General features: G+C 39.9%; 1 long non-coding RNA gene across 1 annotated transcript in view, besides 2 other annotated features; it reads left to right on the top strand.

The window, feature by feature from the left end:
• The window catches only part of LINC01170 (long intergenic non-protein coding RNA 1170), a 378,727-nt gene that overhangs the window by 164,649 nt on the left and 192,303 nt on the right, over window positions 1-21,775 (top strand). The window lies entirely within an intron of this gene.
• Window positions 9,319-10,259: an enhancer, noted in NCBI's record as "OCT4-NANOG hESC enhancer chr5:123599306-123600246 (GRCh37/hg19 assembly coordinates)". NCBI's record gives its function as "activates a minimal SCP1, AML or CMV promoter by ChIP-STARR-seq in naive H9 embryonic stem cells {active_cell/tissue: H9 hESC(naive)}" and the evidence as "EXISTENCE:reporter gene assay evidence [ECO:0000049][PMID:30033119]".
• Window positions 15,976-17,175: an enhancer, noted in NCBI's record as "MED14-independent group 3 enhancer chr5:123592390-123593589 (GRCh37/hg19 assembly coordinates)". NCBI's record gives its function as "activates an origin of replication core promoter dependent on BRD2, BRD4, P300/CBP and CDK7 cofactors, and independent of MED14, by STARR-seq in HCT116 cells {active_cell/tissue: HCT116}" and the evidence as "EXISTENCE:reporter gene assay evidence [ECO:0000049][PMID:35650434]".

Here is a 21,775-nt window from a genome sequence, read left to right as displayed (position 1 = left end):
AAGAGATTACTAAGAGCAAAGTAGTATTCTAGAAATAGTGATTAAGAATATATTCAATACAATAAGCAAACACCCCCAATGAAAATTATATTATTTTTTCCCTAAGGGCATTATGATTTACAAATATTTATTTTGATCTGTTTGAGATCATAATGATGTTCATTTTTTCTTATGTACTCACAAGAAATGTCATTGTGTTGCTAAAAGTCCAAGGACGTCTTATGGAAGAGAGTAATGTGCTTCATGAAATATTCCCTATATGTTGGATGTTAATAACTGTTATAGAAAAATGTGTAGTCAAGTATAGGAAATGAAAATAAAGTCAAATTTTGTTTATTTGTTTCAACTACAGAACATCTCAAAACCTTAAGATGCTAGTAGTCATTTTGAATCTCAAAGATAAGAAATTGCAGCATTTTAATTTTTTGACAACATAATTTTCTCTCCTTTACCTTCTCAACAGAAGATGATCAAAGGAAAAATATTTTTAGGAACTTCTGGTTTAATATTACTTTGCAAGATATGGGAAGGAAACTGTCCCCCCACTGTTTTCATATCAGTTTATTTGTTTTGAGTACACTTGTCTTGGAATGATCTTCATTTAGTTAACAAGTGTGTCAATAATTTAAGACTTATCTACTCCATTATATTATTTACAAATACTGCACCAGATGGACAAGTTTTAGTGTCTTTTTTCCTCAGAGAGAAAATTACAGCTGAATACTGAGCTTTGTATCTATTACTGCATTCCCTTCTCCTTGAATTTAGACCAAGAAGCATCTTTACTCATCATATTTCATCATAGTCTTATAAATGGATTAATGAGTAAATGAATTAAACAAATAGCATACTTATTATATGTTGGAAATTGAGAAAAGCATTTTTATAATTACAGATGTATCATTAAAAAGTAACTAGGAGCCAGGCATGGTGGTACATGCCTGTAGTCCCAGTTACTCAGGAGGCTGAGGTGAGAGGATCACTTGAACGTAGGAGTTCGAGACTAGGCTGGGCAACATAGTGAGACACCATGTTTAAAAAAAATGTTAAAAAAGTACCTGAATTTAGCCTCAAACAGTTAAATCATAAAAATTGAAAAACTGAGAGGGAGTAAAGAGTTGAAATCAGGAGACTTGCTTGAACCCGGGAGGCAGAGATTGCAGTGAGCCGAGATCATGCCATTGCACTCCAGCCTGAGTGACAGGGTGAGACTTGGTCTCAAAAAAAAAAAAAAAGTTGAAATCAATAGTTGCATTGCCATTCAGGCATGTCAAGGGATGCAAGCAAATGAAATATCAAGTAAATGTAAGATTAACCAGTTACTTCATTTATCAACACTGTGTAGAAAACTAAGCCTGTGCTAATAGAATTCAAAGAATTTCCAACTGGTAACTATTCCTATTGCTAAAAGTAGACTTCGAGTATTCTGAGAGCAGATGCTGAGCCAGCAACTCCTGGATCAAGACCCTTCATTCTTCATCCAGGATGGTACACTTTGTTGGGTTTTAAATCATAACAGCCTGAAATAGGGGGAGAGAAAAAAGCAAGGTTAAGATAATGTTTTATATATTTCACCAATAGAGGTTCATATGCAAGGGTTAGATGATATTCATCTGTAATAACAACAATGAACGTGCTAACTCATAAATAATTCACCCACACTTCCTTCCTCCCTCCTTTCTTCTATTTTCTCTTCTTTCTTCCTTCTCTCTTCTAGCCCATGTCAGGCAATAGCTACTTATAAATATTGAATCAATGTTTGTTGTGGGAAATTCAGGTTCAGAGAAATAGAACACATCAGAAAGCAATTTATCATGAAAATTAGATATTTTCTACTACTGTGTGTGTTCTCAATAAAGGATAAAGAGTTCAATAAAGGATCAAAAGCCTTTAGGTTTGGATCAGTTATTATATCTGTAACTAATAATTCAGGTTGAATGTCCCAAAGCTGTTCAAAAAAATTCATTCTCAGAAAAAATTCTTAAGGAGAAACAAACTAATGCTTATTAAATACCTACTATAGCTGCTGTATATGTAGATTATTTTATATAATCTTCACAGTAACACTGTGAGGTAGATACTATCTCCATTTTGTAGATAAGGGTACTACAACTCAGAAATTATTTAACATGATCAAATTTGTGCAGGATGTGAAAAAGCAGATTTGAAATTGGACTTTTTGATGCACACTTGTTATTTCTTGATACTTACTTCGTTCTTCCAGCATGTTTTGATCTCCTCTTGACTTCATACCACTGGAGCCATATTTGTGTGTGATAAAGACATAGAGAAAAAGACCCAGACTGGAGGAAGTCCAGAAGACTTAAAATCTGTCTCTTACCTCTCTGTGCAGGTCATCATCAATCAGGTTGCTTCTGAAGATATCTAACCGTTCTATTTTAATTAAACATAAAATAAGCCGGAAGAGTACAATGGTATAGAATATCAGAATGTACACCAGGATTGCTCAATTAATGTTTCACTCCACTTCCCCTCCCTATCCCCAATATAGAGTTGTATTTTTTACACTGTGAATAACCAGGGTCTGGTTACAAAAACAAAACAAAACAAACAAACAAAAAAAACCAGGGTTTTTATTTTCTTCAATTTTCCTTCCCTTCTTTCCTCCTTTTGTTCTTCCTTTTCTTTTTCCATTTTCCCTTCCCTCCTCCTGTCCTTTCTTCTTATTTCTTCTCATTTTCCTTCCTTCCTTCCTTCCTTCATTCCTTCCCTCCCTCCCTCCCTTCCTTCCTCCCTCCCTTCCTCTCCCCATTTTACATTTTGTAGAATTTTCTAGATGCCTGTCGGTAATTATTCTTTATTTTCAACTTTTAGAAATGTTCCCATTTGTTGTTATATGAATTTAGCAGGGCCAAATTTATCCCATGCCACCTCTTGATCTAGAGATAGGTCTTGATTGGCTTAGGCCAGTCAGTATAATCTCACTCTCACCTTGTCCCAGCTATTGGTTAAAAAATACAGGTAACTCTTCAAATTTAGGTGGCCTTTTCTCTTTCCCTGGACGGTGAGGTTACATAATGTCTGACACTGATGAAGCCATTTTGCTACCAATGGGAAAAACAACCCAGGGATAAAACTACTATGGAGGAGAGGAAAGCCAAGAAAATCCCAAGAAAATAGATATGGAGGTGGTACTGATCAAATCCTGCAAAGTTTATACCTTCTGGATTTTTTATTTATATTGTCCAATAAATTACCTTAATCTCTAAGATAATAATTTTCAATTAACAATTAACAATTACCTTAATATCTTAATAACAATTTTCAGTTGTTAGGGAAAGTATTCTAAATGATATACTCTCCCTTTGTCCTCTCAAAGAGAATTTATTGAGTGCCTACTATGTTTCAAAGTTCTATGTGTGTCAGGAAATACAAAGAAATAAAATCTCTCATAGAAAGGCTATATCTCTATTTCTCAGTTGCTAAAGTCCATTTATCTCACTTCTATGCCTCTTTTACTATGGACAAGTCATTCTGATTTTGGCCCAGTCCCTGTTTCATGTGCTGAGATCATTAAGCTACCCTGACCTCGCATGCTGGACTTCATATATTTGAGGAGAGGAATTCCATACCACTTGGATTAAAAGATCTCTAGCACCCAAATACAAGTTCACTTCTTGGGGCTTGTTTTGATTCACTGATCTCTAGGAGTGCAATATTGTTTTGTCTTGTTAGAAAAGAGGGATTTGATTCAGATTATCCTTCTTCTATTAGCATGATTTCTTTGTATCAGTAAGGCCCAACTGTCACAGTGGAAAGTGGAGGAAGAATGGAATAAAAAAATAAAACCTGGTTGTGGGAAGAGTTGAAGCTAGAGGCCAAATTTATCCCAGGCTGACAATAGGTATAGGCCCTGGAGAGTGCCTTATTCCACCTAGCACAGTGCCAGCACTGTGAGAATAGGGACTAGGACAGTAACAACTAGGTCAAAGAGCCAGGATTCTGTACTGATTATCCTTTCATTCTCTCAGGGCATCCAATGCACTCCTAATATTAGCACACCCTGGGGACCCAAAAATAAATAAGACCCTAACTTAAAACCTAGATGATGGGTTAATAGGTGCAGCAAATCACCATGGCGCATGTATACCTATGTAACAAACCTGCACATTCTGCATGTATATCCCAGAACTTAAAGTAGAATTTTTAAAAAATTGAGCTAGTCACCCCCATTTTAAGAAGAACCAATCATATGAGAATTCCAAAGGTGGAAAAAAAAAGTTCATACTTTACAGCAGACAACCTATAGAAAGGGAGAAAATTTTTACAATCTATCCATCTGACAAAGGGCTAATATTCAGAGTCTACAAGGTACTTAAACAAATTTACAAGAGAAAAACAAACAACCCCATCAAGAAGTGGGCAAAGGACATAACAGACACTTCTCAAAATAAGACTTTTATGCAGCCAACAAACATGAAAAAAAGCTCAACATCTCTGGTCATTAGATAAATGCAAACTAAAACAACAATGAGATATCATCTCACACCAGACAGAATGACAATTATTAAAAAGTCAAGAAACAACAGCTGCTGGCGAGGCTGTGGAGAAATAGGAACACTTTTACACTGTTGGTGGAAATGTAAATTAGTTCAACCACTATGGAAGACAGTGTGGTGATTCCTCAAGGATCTAGAACCAGAAATACCATTTGATCCAGCAACCTCATTACTGGGTATATACCCAAAGGAATAGACATCATTATATTATAAAGATACATGCACACATGTTTATTGCAGCACTATTCACAATAGCAAAGACATGGAATCAATCCAAATGCCCATCAATGATAGACTGGATAAAGAAAATGTGACACATGTACACCATGGAATACTATGCAGCCACAGAAAGGAACAAGATCATGCCCTTTGCAGGGACATAGACGAAGCTGGAAGCCATTATCCTCAGCAAACTAACGCAGGAACAGAAAACCAAATGCTGCATGTTCTCACTCATAAGTGGGAGCTGAACAATGAGAAGACATGGACACAGGGAGGGGAACAACACACACTGGGCCTGTTAGGGGTTCAGGGGGAGGGAGGGCATCAGGATAAATAGCTAATGCATATGGGGCTCAATACCTAGGTGATGGGTTGATAGGTGCACCATGGTGCAAACCACTATGGCACACGTGTGTAAGAAACCTGCATGTCCTGCACATGCATCCCAGACCTTAAAATAAATTTTTTAAAAAAGTTCACACTTTAGAAGAGGGAACGAGTACATAAATGGGTAGGTGCAAATATAGAGCAATAGATATTGAAATAGAAGTAAGAAGAAATAATTGCTCTATCTAGGGGTCAGAAAAGGTTTGACGTAGGAAGGAATATATGGACTGGGGGCTCAAAAATCAGCTTGTTCATGGTCCTGGCAAAACCAGAACCAACTCTAGGCTTCCTGATTCTCAGTCTAACATGTGTCTTAAAAGATGAATCATGCCAATCTGTTGTGAGGAGCCCACATGAACTGCTACAAAAGGATACCCAGAATGCAGCTGGAAATGACAAGTAATTTTGGGAGAGGACACACACACACACACACACACACACACACACACACACACACACACACACACACCCCAAGGCCTAAAATATCAGTGTAGAAATATTCATTGGGTGACTTGAAGAAGCAGGAAACTGAGTTAAACCTGAAAGAAAGAGTGCCCATGAAAAATTAATTCTCCAAAATTAATCTGTGCAAGAACACCCCCATATAGCTGAGGCAGCAGATTGCAGGATCAGGAACGAACAAATTAGAGGATGTGTGCTAGAGAATCGCTCTAAAGACACGATACCAAATTCTTTTAGTGGCCATCTTTTCTGTACCTGGGGAGGTTTGGGGTTTCTGGGTGAGTAGTTAGTTTATAAAGAGACGCATTCCACTGATGTTTTGTAGGAATTTCCTAAAGGGAAAGAAAGAGTATTTTACTTACCATCCAACAAATTTAGATTGAGGGTTTACTTTGTGGCACTTATTACACTGGATACAATTCTTTTAATTTTTTCCGAATTATTTATTCATACACCGACTCTTCAGAGAGAAATAGAACTGCTAACAAAGATAAGTAAAACGTACAATGCTATAAGACACAATTTTATTTTTTGTTACTGCTTTTAATTCTACCAAATCTTCCTTTTTATATTATAAGGAGTCTAGAACTTTCCCACCATTTTGTTTATTAAAATTTAGCCAGTCCAGTAACTCCAAGCTCCAAATTCCAACTCAGATCTCCGGGTTTAACTGTCCCATCTCCAATTTAAACCCATCTGGACAGGTTAAATATCAAGTTGCAAAGATTCAGAGTGGAGGCGAGAGAGGGTGATATGGCTCCAGCATATCCTTTCCCCCTTCTCTCACATTTCTGTTGTTAGGGAACTGTGAGAATAGATGGGGGAGGCAAAGATGACTTTCTGTAACTGAACATTGCAAAGGCACATAGCAGGAAGTGCCCAGGCTTTGAAAACTCTGGTTTCATCTGATTCTGTTTGCTGCTGGTGGCCTCTGCAGACACAGTGGTCCTAAGTAGATGAAATAGAGTGTGCCTGGGGCAGTGCTCAGCTCCAGGCCAGCCTCTCTGCTGTCAAGGACCCCTCAGAGAGGCATCACCAATCCTCCAGCAACATCTGTGCTCTTCCGGCTCCGCCACATCTTGGGCAGCCCTAATATTCTTGCCCTTTCTCTTGCCCTAGACCCTCTCAGGTGGAGCCACAAGAACCATTGAGGTCTTCTCTGTTTGTTGAGGCTGTTTCATGGGCACCGGGTCTCAAAATGTGGGATTTTAATTTTTACTGGTGACTGTGTGATGACACAGATTGGTCAATGCCACTGAGAGAATAATTTATGACTTATATTTCCTGAGGAAGGTGGGCATGTCTTGCCATGCAGGGCCACATGGAGAACTTCCAGGTTTTCGTCAGGAAGCAGAAGCAGGAACCAGGAGAAAGCCTAGTCCAGAGCTTGATAGGGATTTCCGTGGGAAAGTCAAGGCAGAGAGAGGTAAGCAGCTTAGTGCTGCCTCATTTGAATAATATCAATGGGCTTTGGACTATAGGGGTAGTCTCTAGTTGTCTGATATTTGGCCCTGGGTTGATTTAGAGAAGGGGAAATATTGGCTTGGTGTCTGAGAGTTATAGAAAATAAGTGGTTGGGGAATAAGAACTCAGACTGGTTGGTTTGCATATGAAACGCAAGCTACCAGCCAAGTTCTTTGCCATCTCTGAGAATTGGCTAGCCCTGGGAGAGGTAGTCTCCCCTTGGCCAGCAGGATTTTTTAACATCAAAACCTCATAAGATACATTAAAAGCATGATTAATTTGCACCCATCCCATAGTCCCCCAATGCCTTTCCAGCCAGCCCTTACAAATTTCTAGGCCTTAAATGGCATCTAAATACAGTGTTGGATTCCTTTTAGAAATCCTTATCATTCCCCTCTCAGGAAGCAACACCAAGTAGAGTGGGTTGCTTGTAGATTCTATATCCCAGGTAGATTTCATCCACAGAAGACAGACTGTCACTCCTGTTTGAAATTACCCTCATTTTCTTTTGAATGATTGAATGATGTGTTTCTACCCCTCACCCCTCAGAAGGAACAAAGCGAAAATCATTACCTAGTATTATGGACTAAATTATGTCTACCCCTATCCCCCAGTTTATATGCTGGAACCCTAACGAACACTGTGACTGTGTTTGGAGATAGGGGCTCTAAGGAAGTGATTAAAGTTAAATGAGATTATAAGAGTGGCATCCAGATATGCTGGGATTAGTGCACTTATAAGAAGAGACACAGAGATACATTAAGAAGGCAGCTGCCTATAAGCCAAGAGAAGAGGCCTCAGGATAAAACTTACCTTGCCAGCACCTTGATCTTGGACTTCCCAGCATCTAGAGCTGACAGCAGTAAATTTCTGTTTTCTAAGCCACCCAGTCTGTGGTATTTTGTTATGGCATCTCTAGGAGACTAATAAACCTTGGAACACCTAATTCCCACAGGTTGGTAATGACCACTGTAAATGCTTCTTCTTCACTTCCTTCTGTTTTTTTGCTTATATCCCAGGTAGTGATGGCGGTCATAGTTGTAGGGGCATAGGGAACACTTCCTCTTCACCCTCTGAAGTTTCACCAAAAAATTAACTCACAGAAGGCAGAGTAATTGGAGAAAAGGCATACACATTTATTACCATGCGCATGGAGGAGAACCACAGAGTGATGACCCCAAACCCACGATGGGGTACAGAAGCTTACCTACCATCTTGAGGTTACAGAAAGAATGAAAGCTTGGATGTTGGCAAAACAGGTGGTGGTCAGGAGAGAAGAGGAAACCTGGCTAGCAAAGGTGATCTTGTTACGTAGAGGAAACGTCACAGGTAGAATCCTTCAGAGACCATAGATGGTAAAGTGTTTGTATCAGACCTTTAAAGGTATCACATTTTCAGTTAATCTTTCCGAGATCCAGATAAGGAAAGGCTCAGAGAAAACCCGGCTACATCAATGCAGATTTTCTCTACAGAAGCAACTCTCCCTCACAAAAGACAACTTTGCAAGGCTACTTCTGTTTGCTGGCTCTTGAGGAACAGCCATTCCAAAATAAGTTACAGAAGTGTATTTTGGGGTCGAATATTTTGATTTTCTTCATGGTGATGGTGGTGGTTATTATCAGCAACAGGTTAGCATCTTCATAAGCTCCAAGAAAATCTACTCCAACTGATAGCAGTTAAGTGGTGGCTCCCGCTTGGGCCTTAACTACAATTTTAGAATTGATCCCACTCAACACCCTGTTGTGTTTCATATCTATCCATGTGGAAACAGAGACATAACATAGCTTGGTTCATGTGGGTTATTTTTTCCTGCATATATATATATATATATATATATATATATATATATATATTCCTGCATATATATATATATTTCCTGCATATATATATATATATATATCTATATATATCTTGTCTCCTTACCCTTATTGTAAATTCCTTGAAGATGGCACTCCAAAGAACCTAGTATTGTGCTTGCCCATAGAAAGAAAGAAAGTGCTTTGCTCTTTTGCTTATTTGGGAAGTAGTATCTCCTGTTAATTACTCAGGCTTAGGCTGCATTTTTCACCTGCTGAGATCACCATAGAATTCTGCCTTCATACTCAGGAATATTTAAAACACAATAACTCCTTGAAAAAGGGAAGGAATCATTAGTCACACGGAATTTGCTTACAAGTAATTCCAACTTGCCCAATAAACTAGACTTTTTTTTTTTTTCATAAAGACCATTTGAAGAAATGGCAGCTCTGTTGAACCCACAGCTTCATTTTTTTCTTTTTTAAATCCCACTGTCTAGTCTCCCCGTTTCTTTTACAAGCAGACACTGCCTGGAAGCTACAATTGCTGCGCAATGGTAACAAGGGGTCCTCCACAGGCCACAGAATCTCCAATCAAGAACAGGTGCAGTCACACCCCCTTTGCAAACAAAGATATTTTGTTTGAATGGGCACAACATGGAAGAATGGGATGTATTAATAGCTAAATAGTGTCTTTATTAACAGTAGAACAGCTGGCAGTTCTATATGACAGTGCTCATTCCAATCCATTTTATCCAATTGCAGAACTATAAGCACGCTCCACCAGGGAACTAAGGGGACCACACGCAAGCAATCAGCCATTCAACAGCACTCTAATTGCTGCACAGTTGGAAGTGTGTTCTCCTCAGCCACTGTTATTCTTTTAGGCGGAATTGTTGGTGCACTCGCCTATCTAGAATCAAGTGCTGCTAATACAGATAAGCTGCTTGAAGAAACTTCCTTTGTTTCACAAGGCCTTGTGAGCCGTCCTCCAGGGGGTTGCTCCTTGGTCTTGGTTGATCATAAATCCCTGGTGCTGGGTGCCAGAAGGGAGCAGATGCAGGGAGTCTCAGCATCTCTGTCATCTCCTAGCAAAGTGGTTACCCTAAAGAGGGAAAAATAAACTCCCAACTCATAAAGATCCTGTTAGACCCTGCTTGAGAACCTTTCTTCAGGGCATCCTACTGAGCTGAAGAATAGATTGAGTGAGTCAGTGCAGATGTATAAATGCCTGTGACTGTAGTCCAAGTCCCTGAGCAGTGGGGAAGCTATACTGGGAGGAATCCATGTCAGGGTATAATCAGGTTACACAGGTAAGAGCCAGGAAAGGAGGGAAGGAATTGGAAAGTAAGTAAAAGCATGACTGAGGAAGCAAATTAAAAACAAAACCTGAAATATCTAAGCAGACAAAAAAAATCATTTCTTTAGTGTATTTATCAAAGAAGGACCTGGCTAAACATTATAAAAATTATTTTCAATGTCAAATAAGGGAGGCTAGGTTACTTTCTTATTCTTTTAGACTACTATTTAATTTTCTTTGTGTGTTTGTTTTATTTGCAGTTTATCCAGTTTAAGAAAATACTGTTTGCAGAGCATTGCGTCTCTGCATTTTTACAGGGTAATTCCTGTTTGGTGAGTTTTCAAAGGATCCTTTAGGGAGAATATTAAAAGGCTCTTGGCTATATTTAGCCCAGACAAATATAGGCAGATATGAAATTATAAAATCTTCCTGATATGCAGGGCTTTCTTTGTTCTGTCTGATCATGTGGGGATTAAATAACTCAGAGGAATAAGAGTTATTGTTTAGGATTTGCCAATCAGGCTGCTGATCCATCCATGGCTCACCCATTGTTGGGACTTCTTGTTTTGTCCTTGTTAGCATGTAGCTCCAGGTAATAAAATTATAGGTTACTCTCATTTTTCTACCCCCTTTTTGTTAAATTGCCCCCAAATGGCTTTCAGACAATATTTTGTTTCCATCCCTACTGATGGCACTTTCTGAATAAAGAAGCACATCTTTGGCTGTGGCAATGGATTCAGATGAAATGGAAATCATTGTTGAAAATAAAATAGACCCTAGAGAGCTCAGGACAGTGAAAATCACCCGTTCACAAAGAAAGTCGCTAAAGCTTTAATAAAAGGCAACAAAGACACAGGAGGCCAAGCAACAGACTCCAAAAGGAGGCAAAAGGTCATGTCTTTTATACGAACTCTTTCATGTTTCTTCCACGATGGGTTAAGTTTTCAGAGCAGCATAAATTCTCCATAAGAATCCTTAAATTCTCAGCCCTCCTGCCAAGAAAGTGAAGACGAATATGCATCTGTTTGGAAATCTCCCAAATGCATGTGCAAAATGGGCCAAGCAGCTTTCATTGCCAAATATTCGGAGGAGCCCTGTCACAGCCTCATGCAGAGGACTTCAGTATTAGGGCGAAGGCACCTGCAGACAATGCCGGGAAGAGAGGAGGGGGAAAGGAGGATATTTCTGGTAACAGAATGCCAGGGTCTGGTTAGAGTAGAATAAACAAATGAACAGATTCCTCCCTATTCAATGTGGATATTTAAAGAGACATCCCCGAGTGCATCTATTTTAAAAATTAACATTATCCACATGCAGTACTTTGTTAATCGCTCCTCCCCCTTACTCTGCATTATTTTCTTGCTGTCTGCTGAGTTTATAGTCAGGGAAAAGATGGCATTTCTGGCCCTTATGATTCAGGGTTTCTTAACCAGTTAAATTAGTAGCTTTCATGTCAGGGGACATGTGGAACAGTTCAAAGAAAATTCTGTATCTTCCTCTGCTCAGAGAGACATATTCAAGGTAATATCTGACTCCTGGACCTTTTTTTGAAGCTCATTACTGTGTGTGATCTTGAGTAAGTTACTTCTTTTTGTAGTGAGTAGCTGCCCTTTTTAAAAAATAAAGCTGTGAACTCCTTGAGGGTAGAAGCTGTGACTTCGTTTTCTTGGCTTCCCTGTAACCTAGCACCATGCCTTGCACATAAATACTGTGGAATGCAAGTGGCTTCCATATTTGCCACATCTCTTCTGGGTAATATGAATATTCATCTCAGTGTTTATCATATAGGTATAGAAAAATGTACATCTTTATATCTGTTTAATGCTTTCAGCATTTTGAATAACTTTAACAGTACTCTTATTAGGTAGGACAGTTATTTTTATGACTGTCCACCTATGGAGGTATTAATGGCTCAAAGGACACATACCTAACACTAGAAGCCTCCCCACTAAAGGAAGGCTTTCCCGTCATCAGAGCACCAATTAGTTTTTAGTAGAAGCAAGAGTTCAAAGGGAGGCATTGAGTAAAACTGCATTCCTACTGGGAGTGCCAAAAGCTATGTGTCTCATCAGGATTTCCTGAAAGCAAGAGGTTCGTTTTCATCTCTTTGATTTTGTTCTTTCTTGTGTCAGTACACCATCTGAGTGTTAGATCTTTTCTTCATGGAGATCTGGTATTCTCATCCAGTCTTACTTCTAACTATGGCACATAGCTACACCGTTTGTGTACTTGTAAGTTACCTTTTCCATGTAAGGGATACCAGTTACATCACGATGGTAAATCCTCCAACTCTGAGACTAACTCCCCATGTCGACTGCAGGACACTTTTGCCAATGTTGGCACAGCCATTTCCTAGATTGGCTGTGAAGAGGGATAGGAAACACCATCTGGGAAGAGTAATACCCTTCCTCATGTGCCAGACTGCACCAGCCACGTGTGTCTGAGGACGAGAGCTGGTCTTCTGTCCTACGTGGCATCAAGCAGGGTTTCCTGCCCACAGCCTGGCTGCTGGATCAGACATACTGTTCCCACCATGGGGAAGAGGAGGGGGCGGTTTCCTAATTGTAGCGAGTCTCCCAGGGGAGCTCATTTCTCCATGAATGCCTTTGTGATTCTTTGTAACTCCCGCTGTTGATTTGGTTTGGTTTCTGACATGCAGACTCTGGTATCTCAGAGTCTGACCCAGTAACTGTGGGCTTCTCTTATTAAGTGACTCTAGGGCTAACGTTATCATTGTCTGGTGTGAGATATGCCAGGATTACCTCAGAGGCTGCTGAGGCAGTGTCATACTATGCCACCAGATTTATTCCACTTTTAAAAGTGGGGTTTTCAATAAGTTGGAGCTGGATGATGAGAACACATGGACACAAGGGGGAACAACACACACTGGGACCTGTCAGAAGTCAGCGGTGGCAGAGGGAGAGCATCAGGAAGAATAGCTAACAGATGCTGGGCTTAATACCTAGGTGATGGGATGATCTGTGCAGCAATCCACCATGGCACACATTTCCCTATGTAACAAACCTGCACATCCTCTGCACGTACCCTTAAACTTAAAAGCTGAAGAAAAGAAAAAATAGATATGAGGTTGGCTATAGGTTTTTCATAGATACATTTTAGCAGGTGGAAGTTCTCTTATATTTCAAGTTTGCTGAGAGTTTTGGTCATAAATGGATATTAAACTTTGTCTAATTTTTTCCTGCAAAAAAGTGGGGTTTTCAAAACAACAGATGAATTGACTAAATAAATTCAATGGAATACTAAAGCTCCATTACAAAGGATGATGTAGTGCTGTATTTATTGATCTGAAAAGGTGTTCATGACACAATATCATGTGTAAAATTATTTTACTTATGTAAATTACAGATATCTATATCTGCACATCTATTTATATGTGTAGACACATGTCTGGAGGGTTGCTCATGAATTAACTGTGGTCATCTCTGGGTGGTAGATATTGATGAGACTAAAAACCTTTTTCTTCTAATGTTAGTGTGTGTAGTTTCAAAATTACTTGTAGTGAGAAGGTCTCATTTTTAGTTGCCGGAGAAACTAAATCTAATTCCATTTTGGAAAAAGATGTCTTCTACTGGTTTTTCATTGAGCAGCTTTGTAATCCCACCCTCTTTGGTAATATCAGAAAGAATTTACAAAGAATATATTCATAACTGAGGAATTTTTCAACACTCAATACAGTCACTTAGGTACCTGTAACCCTGTTCTTCCATAGTGTTGGGCCTCAAAAAATGATGCCCCAAAGTATAGTGCTTTGGCATGCTGAGTACTTTGAACTAAAGGAGATTGGAAGACCTCAGAAGAGCCTCATAAACAAGGCCTTTTTTCTTGTTTTTTGAGACAGAGTCTTGCTCTGTCACCCAAGCTGGTGATCACAGTGGTGTGATAGCTCACTACATCCTCCGCCTCCCACAATCAAATGATTCTCATGCCTCAGCCTCCTGAGTAGCTGGGATTACAGATGAGCACCATCACACCCGGCTAATTTTTGTATTTTTAGTAGAGACAGGGTTTCGTCATGTTGGCCAGGCTGGTCTCAAACTCCTGGCCTCAAGTGATCCGCCTGCCTTGGCCTTTCAAAGTGCTGGGATTACAGGTGTGAGCCACCATGACTGGCTTATAACCAAGGTCTTTCTGACTTCTCATCCTCCTGTCTCCCACCCATCTATCTCCCCAAAGTGAGTCATAGAAGCTAGAATTCCTCTTCCCTAAAGCCAGCCCTAAAACCTAGAAATAGAATTCCAACCTTCCCACATCTTTCTGTATAAGAGCTGGCCATTAAAAAATTCCCTGACCTTTTTTTGCTTCTATTGAGATGATCATGTGATTTTTGTTTTTAATTCTGTTTATGTGGTGTATCATATTCATTGACTTGTTAAACTATCCCTGCCTCCTACTTTGTCTGAGAGCAGGTCATCAGACCCTCATTCCAGAGCAGTCCTGCCCCATGCTAGGGAGGAGAAATGCTACCCAGAGAAGTCAAGAAGAATCTGAACAGACAGGCCTTGCCGGTTTTCCTTGCTCGGTGTATTACCATTAAGTCATACCCCCTTCATCCAACCACATTTCTACACGGCTGCTCATTCTTTATTGAACATTAGCATAAAAACGATTTCCCCTGAGTCTTTGAGTCTTCATTTCTGAAGGCTCCTATGTCACCTAAAACTTTAATTGATCTGTCTTTTGTTGTTAGCCATGGCCCTTATGATGGGTGAGGAAAGGGATCTTACCTCTCTGTCCCTACAAGAGCAAAATGAAACAGTAACATACAAGGTATACTGACAACCAAATAAAAATGAAACTCATGTATTCGACAAACATGAAGAGTCAATGCTTCCCTAATCTCTATTGCCTATTCCAAAGTCTGTGAATACACCAGTTAGAACCAATTTACATGTACAGAATTTGGATGTGAAATTTTGAGTTGCTCAGATACAATTGAAGTGGGGGTTTTAGAATTTCAAAGGTAGCCAAGACCTGCAAAGTTATTTAATTCAACTGTTCACCTAATACATTACTCCCTTCATGCTTGTAGCTCTTATATCTAATGAGAAGTGAGCAAGTTTCTGATAATTTAGTCTGCCAGAGCTTCAAAAGAAAAGAACGTCTTTTTAAAATTTCCCCGAAAATATGTTTAGAAAGCAGTTAATGGTGTTTGCCAATGGTTCTCAGGTTGATTCTCATAGCTGTTGGGTTGGAGATGTTAGTGGGATGGGGATGGGAAACAGCAGAGAAGGGGCTCTTCAGAAGTTCTTGGAGTATCATATTAGTGAGAATTATCATGTGACCATTAAATAAACAACAGGGATTAATGCATTTGTTGGTGATTAATTATATATACACAAACGTTGTTAGGATTTGGGGAGAAAAAAAAACCAAGACAGGAGAGAAATAGGAGTGTATTTGTGGAAGCAGGCAAGATATACAGAGGTAAGCATCACATCCAGAAGTTAGAATGACAAGAGAGAGGAGAAGCTAGAATAAAGGTATCATTTGATACAGAAGAGAAACTCACAAATGGCATTTAAAAGGCCAGCATTGTGAAGCTTCAACAGTAGCAAACATATTTTCTTTGACAGAGAAAGCTTGGGATTCATGAATCTGGAAGCACATAACCTTCCATATTCATGTAACATTTTCACTTACTGTTTGGACCACAAGATTGTATTTGTTATATCTATATCTATATATTATTAGATTTAATAATCTAAAAGGAAAAATAAGGATCTTTACCTAGGACTTCTAAAGGGTCCATGGACAAACAAGCAATCCTGAGACAACCCAAAGACCCTCAGAAGGAAGCAGACTGCTCCTGCAGGACCCGGGAGATACTCCAAATACTGTGAGGGCTCCAACTGCAGAAGTGGGAAAGGGAGACACTACTCTCCTGAACACACAGCCCCACTGGAGAAACCGAAGGTCTGTTTGCAGGAGAAGTTTCCGACCTTACCTGGAGCTGAGTCAATTTAGAGAGCCAAGTGAAATACAGGGGTAGAGGAAGCAGCAGAAAGGCCCTGGGAGCTTGTTGGGTCCCCTAGCAGGCCACTCCTGCCTGGCACCACAGGGATCCATTGGGAGGGTGGCCAGAGGAGCAGGGGGTAAAACTCCACAGAGAGAAGGAGATCTCTAGCTGAACTTTGTAACAGTTTGAATGGGTGAGAGGCGAGAAGCCTCCTGGCCAGGACTTGGGGGAAGGTGCAAATCTAGTATGCAGATTCCACAGCGCCTGGGGAAGAACCAAATCCTTTTCTTTTGCAACTGGGAGGTGGGTAGCCTGGGTTAAGTTTTCAAGCCCGTCTCATCCACTACCTGGAAACAGACTCGGGCTGTTGGTGGGGGTTTTGTGGGAATGAGACCAGCCCTTCGGTTTGCGTGGGAGCTGGGTGAGGCCTGTGACTGCCAGCTTTCCCTCACTTCCCTGACAACCTGCATGACTCAGCAGAGAAGGCCATAATCCTCCTAGGTACACAACTCCAGTGACCTGGTAATCTCACCCGCATCCCCCACAGCAGTCGCAGCAAGACCCACTGAAGGAAAATTTGAGCTCAGACACACCTAGCCCTGCCCCCTCCGATGGTCCTTCCCTACCCATCCTGGTAGTGGAAGACAAAGGGCATATAATCTTTGGAGTTTTGGGGCCCTGCCCCCGATGGTCCCTCTCCATACTACTACAGTTGATGCTCTCCGGAAAGTGCCACCTCCCTGCAGGAGGCCAACCAGCACAAAAATTGAGCATTAAACCACCAAAGCTAAGAACCCTCACGGAGTCCATTGCACCCCCTGCGACCTCCACAGGAATAGGCATTGGTATCCACAGCTGAAAGATCCATAGACATTGTACATCACAGGACTCTGTGCAAACAACTGCTAGTACCAACCTAGTCCCAGAAGAGAGACAACAATCACTGCAGTTCGGCTCACAGGAAGCCACATCCATAGGAAAATGGGGAGAGTATTACATCAAGGGAACACCGTGGGACAAAAGAATCTGAACAACAGCCTTCAGCCCTAGACCTTGCCTCTGACAGAGCCTACCCAAATGAGAAGGAACCAGAAAGCCAGCCCTTGTAATATGAGAAAACAAGCCTCATTAACATCCCCCAAAATCACACTAATTCACCTAAAATGGATCCAAACCAAGAAGAAATCCCTGATTTACCTGAAAAAGAATTCAGGAGGTTAGTTATTAAGCTAATCAGGGAGGCATCAGAGAAAGGCGAAGCCCAATGCAAGGAAATCCAAAAAATGATACAAGAAGTGAAGAGAGAAATATTCAAGGAAATATTAGCTTAAACAAACAAACAAAAACAATTAAAAATTCAGGAAACTTTGGACACACTTTTAGAAATGTGAAATGCTCTGGAAAGCATCAGCAATAAAATTGAACAAGTAGAAGAAATAAATTCAGAGCTCAAAGACAAGGTTTTTGAATTAACCTAATCCAACAAAGATGAAGAAAAAAAAGAAAATATGAAAAAAGCATCCAAGATGTCTGGGATTATGTTAAGTGACCAAACCTAAGAATAGTTGGTGTTCCTGAGGAAGAAGAGAATTCTAAAATCTTGGAAAACATATTTGGGGGAATAATCCAGGAAAACTTCCCTGGCCTTGCTAGAGACCTAGATGTCTAAATACAAGAAGCACAAAGAACACCTGGGAAATTCATCACAAAAATATCATTGCATAGGCACATTTTCACCAGGTTATCTGAAGTTAAGACAAAGGAAAGAATCTTAAGAGCTGTGAGACAGAAGAACCAGGTAACCTACAAAGGAAAACCTATCAGATTAACAGCAGATTTCTCAGCAGAAATCCTACAAGCTAGAAGGGATTGGGGCCCTATCTTCAGCCTCCTAAAACAAAACAATTATCAGCCAAGAATTTTGTATCCAGCAAAACTAAGCATCATATATGAAGGAAAGATATAGTTTTTTTCAGAGATGGAAATTTAAAAATTCTTTGAACTGAATGACAATAATGACACAACCTACCAAAACCTCTGGGATACAGCAAAGGCAGTGCTAAGAGGAATGTTCATGTTTATAATAGCACAATTCACAATTGCAAAATCATGGAACGAACTCAAATGCCCATCAATCAACAAGTGGATAAAGAAACTGTGGTAGATATATATGATGGACCACTACTCAGACATAAAAAGGAATGAATTAACAGCATTTGCAGGGACTTGGATGAGACTGGAGAATATTATTCTAAGTGAAGTAACTCAGGAATGAAAAACCAAAAACCATATGTTCTCACTGATACGTGGGAGCTAAGCTATTAGGACACACAAGCCTAAGAATGGACTCTGGGGACTTCGGAAGAAGAGTGGGAGGGGGGCAAGGGATAGAAGTCCATAAATATTGAGCAGTGTATACTGTATGCTGCTCAGGTGATGGGTGCACCAAAATCTCACAAATCACCACTAAAGAACTTATTCATGTAATCAAATACAACCTGTACTGCAATAACTTATGGGGGAAAAAAAGACATTGGTATGGGCAAAGATTTTTTGGGGTAAGGCCTTAAAAGCATAAGCAACAAAAGCAAAAATAGACAAATGATTACATCAAGTTAAAAACCTTCTGCACAGCAAAGGAAACACTCAACAAAGTGAAGAGACAACCAAAAAGTGGGAGAAAATATTTGCAAACTCTTCATCCTACAGGGGATTGATAACCAGAATACATAAAGAATTCAAACAACTCAATAGCAAAACTAATCATCTGATTTTAAAAAATGGACAAATGATCTCTCAATATCTGTCCTCTGTCATTTTCTTTCATACTACATCCTAATTCATCATTGACTCTATACACACTTTTTTAAAAGCTCCATAAACCAATTGTTGAAAAGCAAAATAAATAAAAAAATGGGCCATGGATAGAATTCGGGGGCCTATGAACTGGAATGGGGGAAAATAACTTTATTTTTATGAATCTCTAACTGTAATTCAGTGTTTCCTTCAATTCTGCATTTAGGCAAAAACATCACAGTAGTCTTAGAAGCACTTGTGACTTTGTCACTGATAAAACTCACAGATGATTTTGTATTGCATTAAAGTTTTTGCAGAAAGTTTGTTAATGTCCATCACTTAGCTCAGCCTTATGATTGATATTCCACCCTTCACCCTATTCTGTTATTTAATGAGTTAATAAATATGCATATACATTACTATATCACAAACCTGTCTGTTAAAACAGTTTGATAAGAATATTTCAATATAATTGATTTTCTCTGTATTCTGGATTTTATTTTCCACATGTAAAAACACCGTTCTGACAAGATGTTCATAAGCTCCACCAGCTAAGACAACCTACCTTTGACTCAGGAAGAGCCCTTTACCTAAGAGAAAACACTTACTCTGAGGCTATGTGAGCCCACCCCTGTCCAAAGATACTCTTAGAGCTGTCCTACATTCCTTCTCTGATGTGACTGACATAAGCATCCTACAGGCAGCTGGGGGGCTCTGATTCTGGCAAATGATGCCACAGTGTAGAATGGGAAGAGGAACAATCTTCCTGTCAAAGACGGTTGCTTATTTAGCTCTATTAATAAGATTTGATGGTAACACAATTTGATAGGATTCTTCTGGAAAGTTAAAACATATTCACATAATTATGTTTATAAAGGAAATAGATGTATAGAAATGACACTTAGGACACCTGCTCTGGATTGAGAATGATTTAACTGGTTTAAGTTGACATATGTGTCAGTGCTAATGTTCTGAAGGTTCCCATTTTTTCAGTAGGTATAATGATCCCAAACCCAATTGAAATCAGGAAAGCTTAAACACCAAGGTGCAAACATCCATTTGCTTTAAGCAATTGTATTTTGCCCACATTGTCTGCACCATTCTGTGCATATAACACTCTTGTGATAATTCCATCCAAATGGACAGACGGCAATGAAGGGGGCGGGGGAGGGAAACAGGAAAGCTCCATAGTTATGGTTTGTGTGTTTCCAACAAAAGACGCACCTACCCAGCTCTGTCTTTCAAGCAGCTACAGCGTGGAGCTTATAGCAGATGGTTCTGCCACGTCAGGCCCACAGCTGTGTGTGTCTGGCACAAGAACAATGTTTGAATTCTGTACAGAAATTTTGTAAGATATGTTTCTTGTTGCCTTTTCATGAATTTTATTTGGTAATTTTTTTAAAACCATAAAGAGTCTGGAGACCATATTGAGAAAACGTTGGCAAGGGAAAGCTATTTGTTAGCTAGCCAAATTTATTTAAAGAGGATCAATCACATATAATTCCTGGAAGAGAAGAAGCCCGTTGGCACTGATTGTGCATCGCAACAAACTCAGAGTCTGAACTGCAGCCACTCAGTGTTTCCTTCCCTGCTCTTTTAAAATTAGATTCCTTACCAACTTTCACAGCCAGGTAGGAAAGAAGGCCTGAGCGTTTCCTTCTTGGTGTATCCAACACGCATCTTTTCGGACTTGGGGGAAAGAAGTAGAAAACATTCAGAATTTTTTGAGCTAATAAGGTACAATATTGCCTGATTTTATAGAAGGGGTGCTAGCTCACTTCTGGGGAAGGCTTTGAAGGACTTTTGCCATCTTTTTTCTAGGAATACCCAGGATAAAATCACAGGACTGTTTCTATGTCCCCTATACTTCTGCTATCCCCAAGTTTAACCTTGCATATGGGCAGGTGTGGGCCTGGGGGTTGTGTATGTGTGTACATGTGAACAGAACTCAGTTTCATTTGAGCTGATTTTCCAAGATAACCCAGCAAATTGGAATAAACCCAGATGTAAGACACAGGACTCTCTAATTCGGACCACATGTATAATTTAGCAGGATCCACTGATGTATTTAAAGAATACTGAACTTTCAAGCAGAGATATAAACACTGTGTGGGTTTAAAAAAATTTTTTTTTAAAGAAAATGCATACCTTTCCTCTGGAAACCCTGTCATTTCCTCCTGAATCCCTTAATCCTAAACTTGGTGTCTAAAATAAATTTAGGGTGGTTCCTACCATTTTGTTGAAAGGCCCCAGGGATTGTTACTGTTATCAGAGTAAGGGGTCCAGTACCATTCATGATGTTATTCAATAGCCTGTTGGGCTGTCTGCACCTGGCAGCCAGCACTCACTCCAGGCTGTTCTTAGGAGCTGCTCTGTTGATTGACAGTATCCTGTGACCAGGGTCAGAGCCGTAGCAGCTGCACGTGGGAGCAGATTCCTCTCACTCACATTTGATGGATAAAGCAGAAGAATCTGGCAGTGAGATCCATATTAATGGCTGAAGCCAGCTTTCTCTTTCATGATTTTCTTGCTTTTTCATTTTGTTTGAGATTGAATTTGAAAGTGAACTTTGTTCCACACTGTAGCCTATGGCAGTGGGCAAATGAGATGAAACTGCACAGAGAAATAGCATTCATACTGCACATACCAAAAGTAGATGTATGAAAAATGGAAATGACAAGGGTAGTTGGGGCTGACTTGCTTTTTACAGGAGCTGAACTTCTGCCAGATTTATTGAGGGAGGCTGAATGGTGAAGAATGCACTGCAGTTTAAGAAATCTTCACATAACCCCCTTCCTGGAGAGAAATAAAAGCTGGCTTGCAAGTGCCCAAGCAGATACAAAGAGCAAGG

The sequence above is a fragment of the Homo sapiens genome, chromosome 5 (genome assembly GCF_000001405.40).
Source record: "Homo sapiens chromosome 5, GRCh38.p14 Primary Assembly".
NCBI classification, from domain to species: Eukaryota; Metazoa; Chordata; class Mammalia; order Primates; family Hominidae; genus Homo; species Homo sapiens.
Note: the sequence above shows the minus strand (reverse complement) of the source record. Positions and strands in the feature narration are given on the sequence as shown.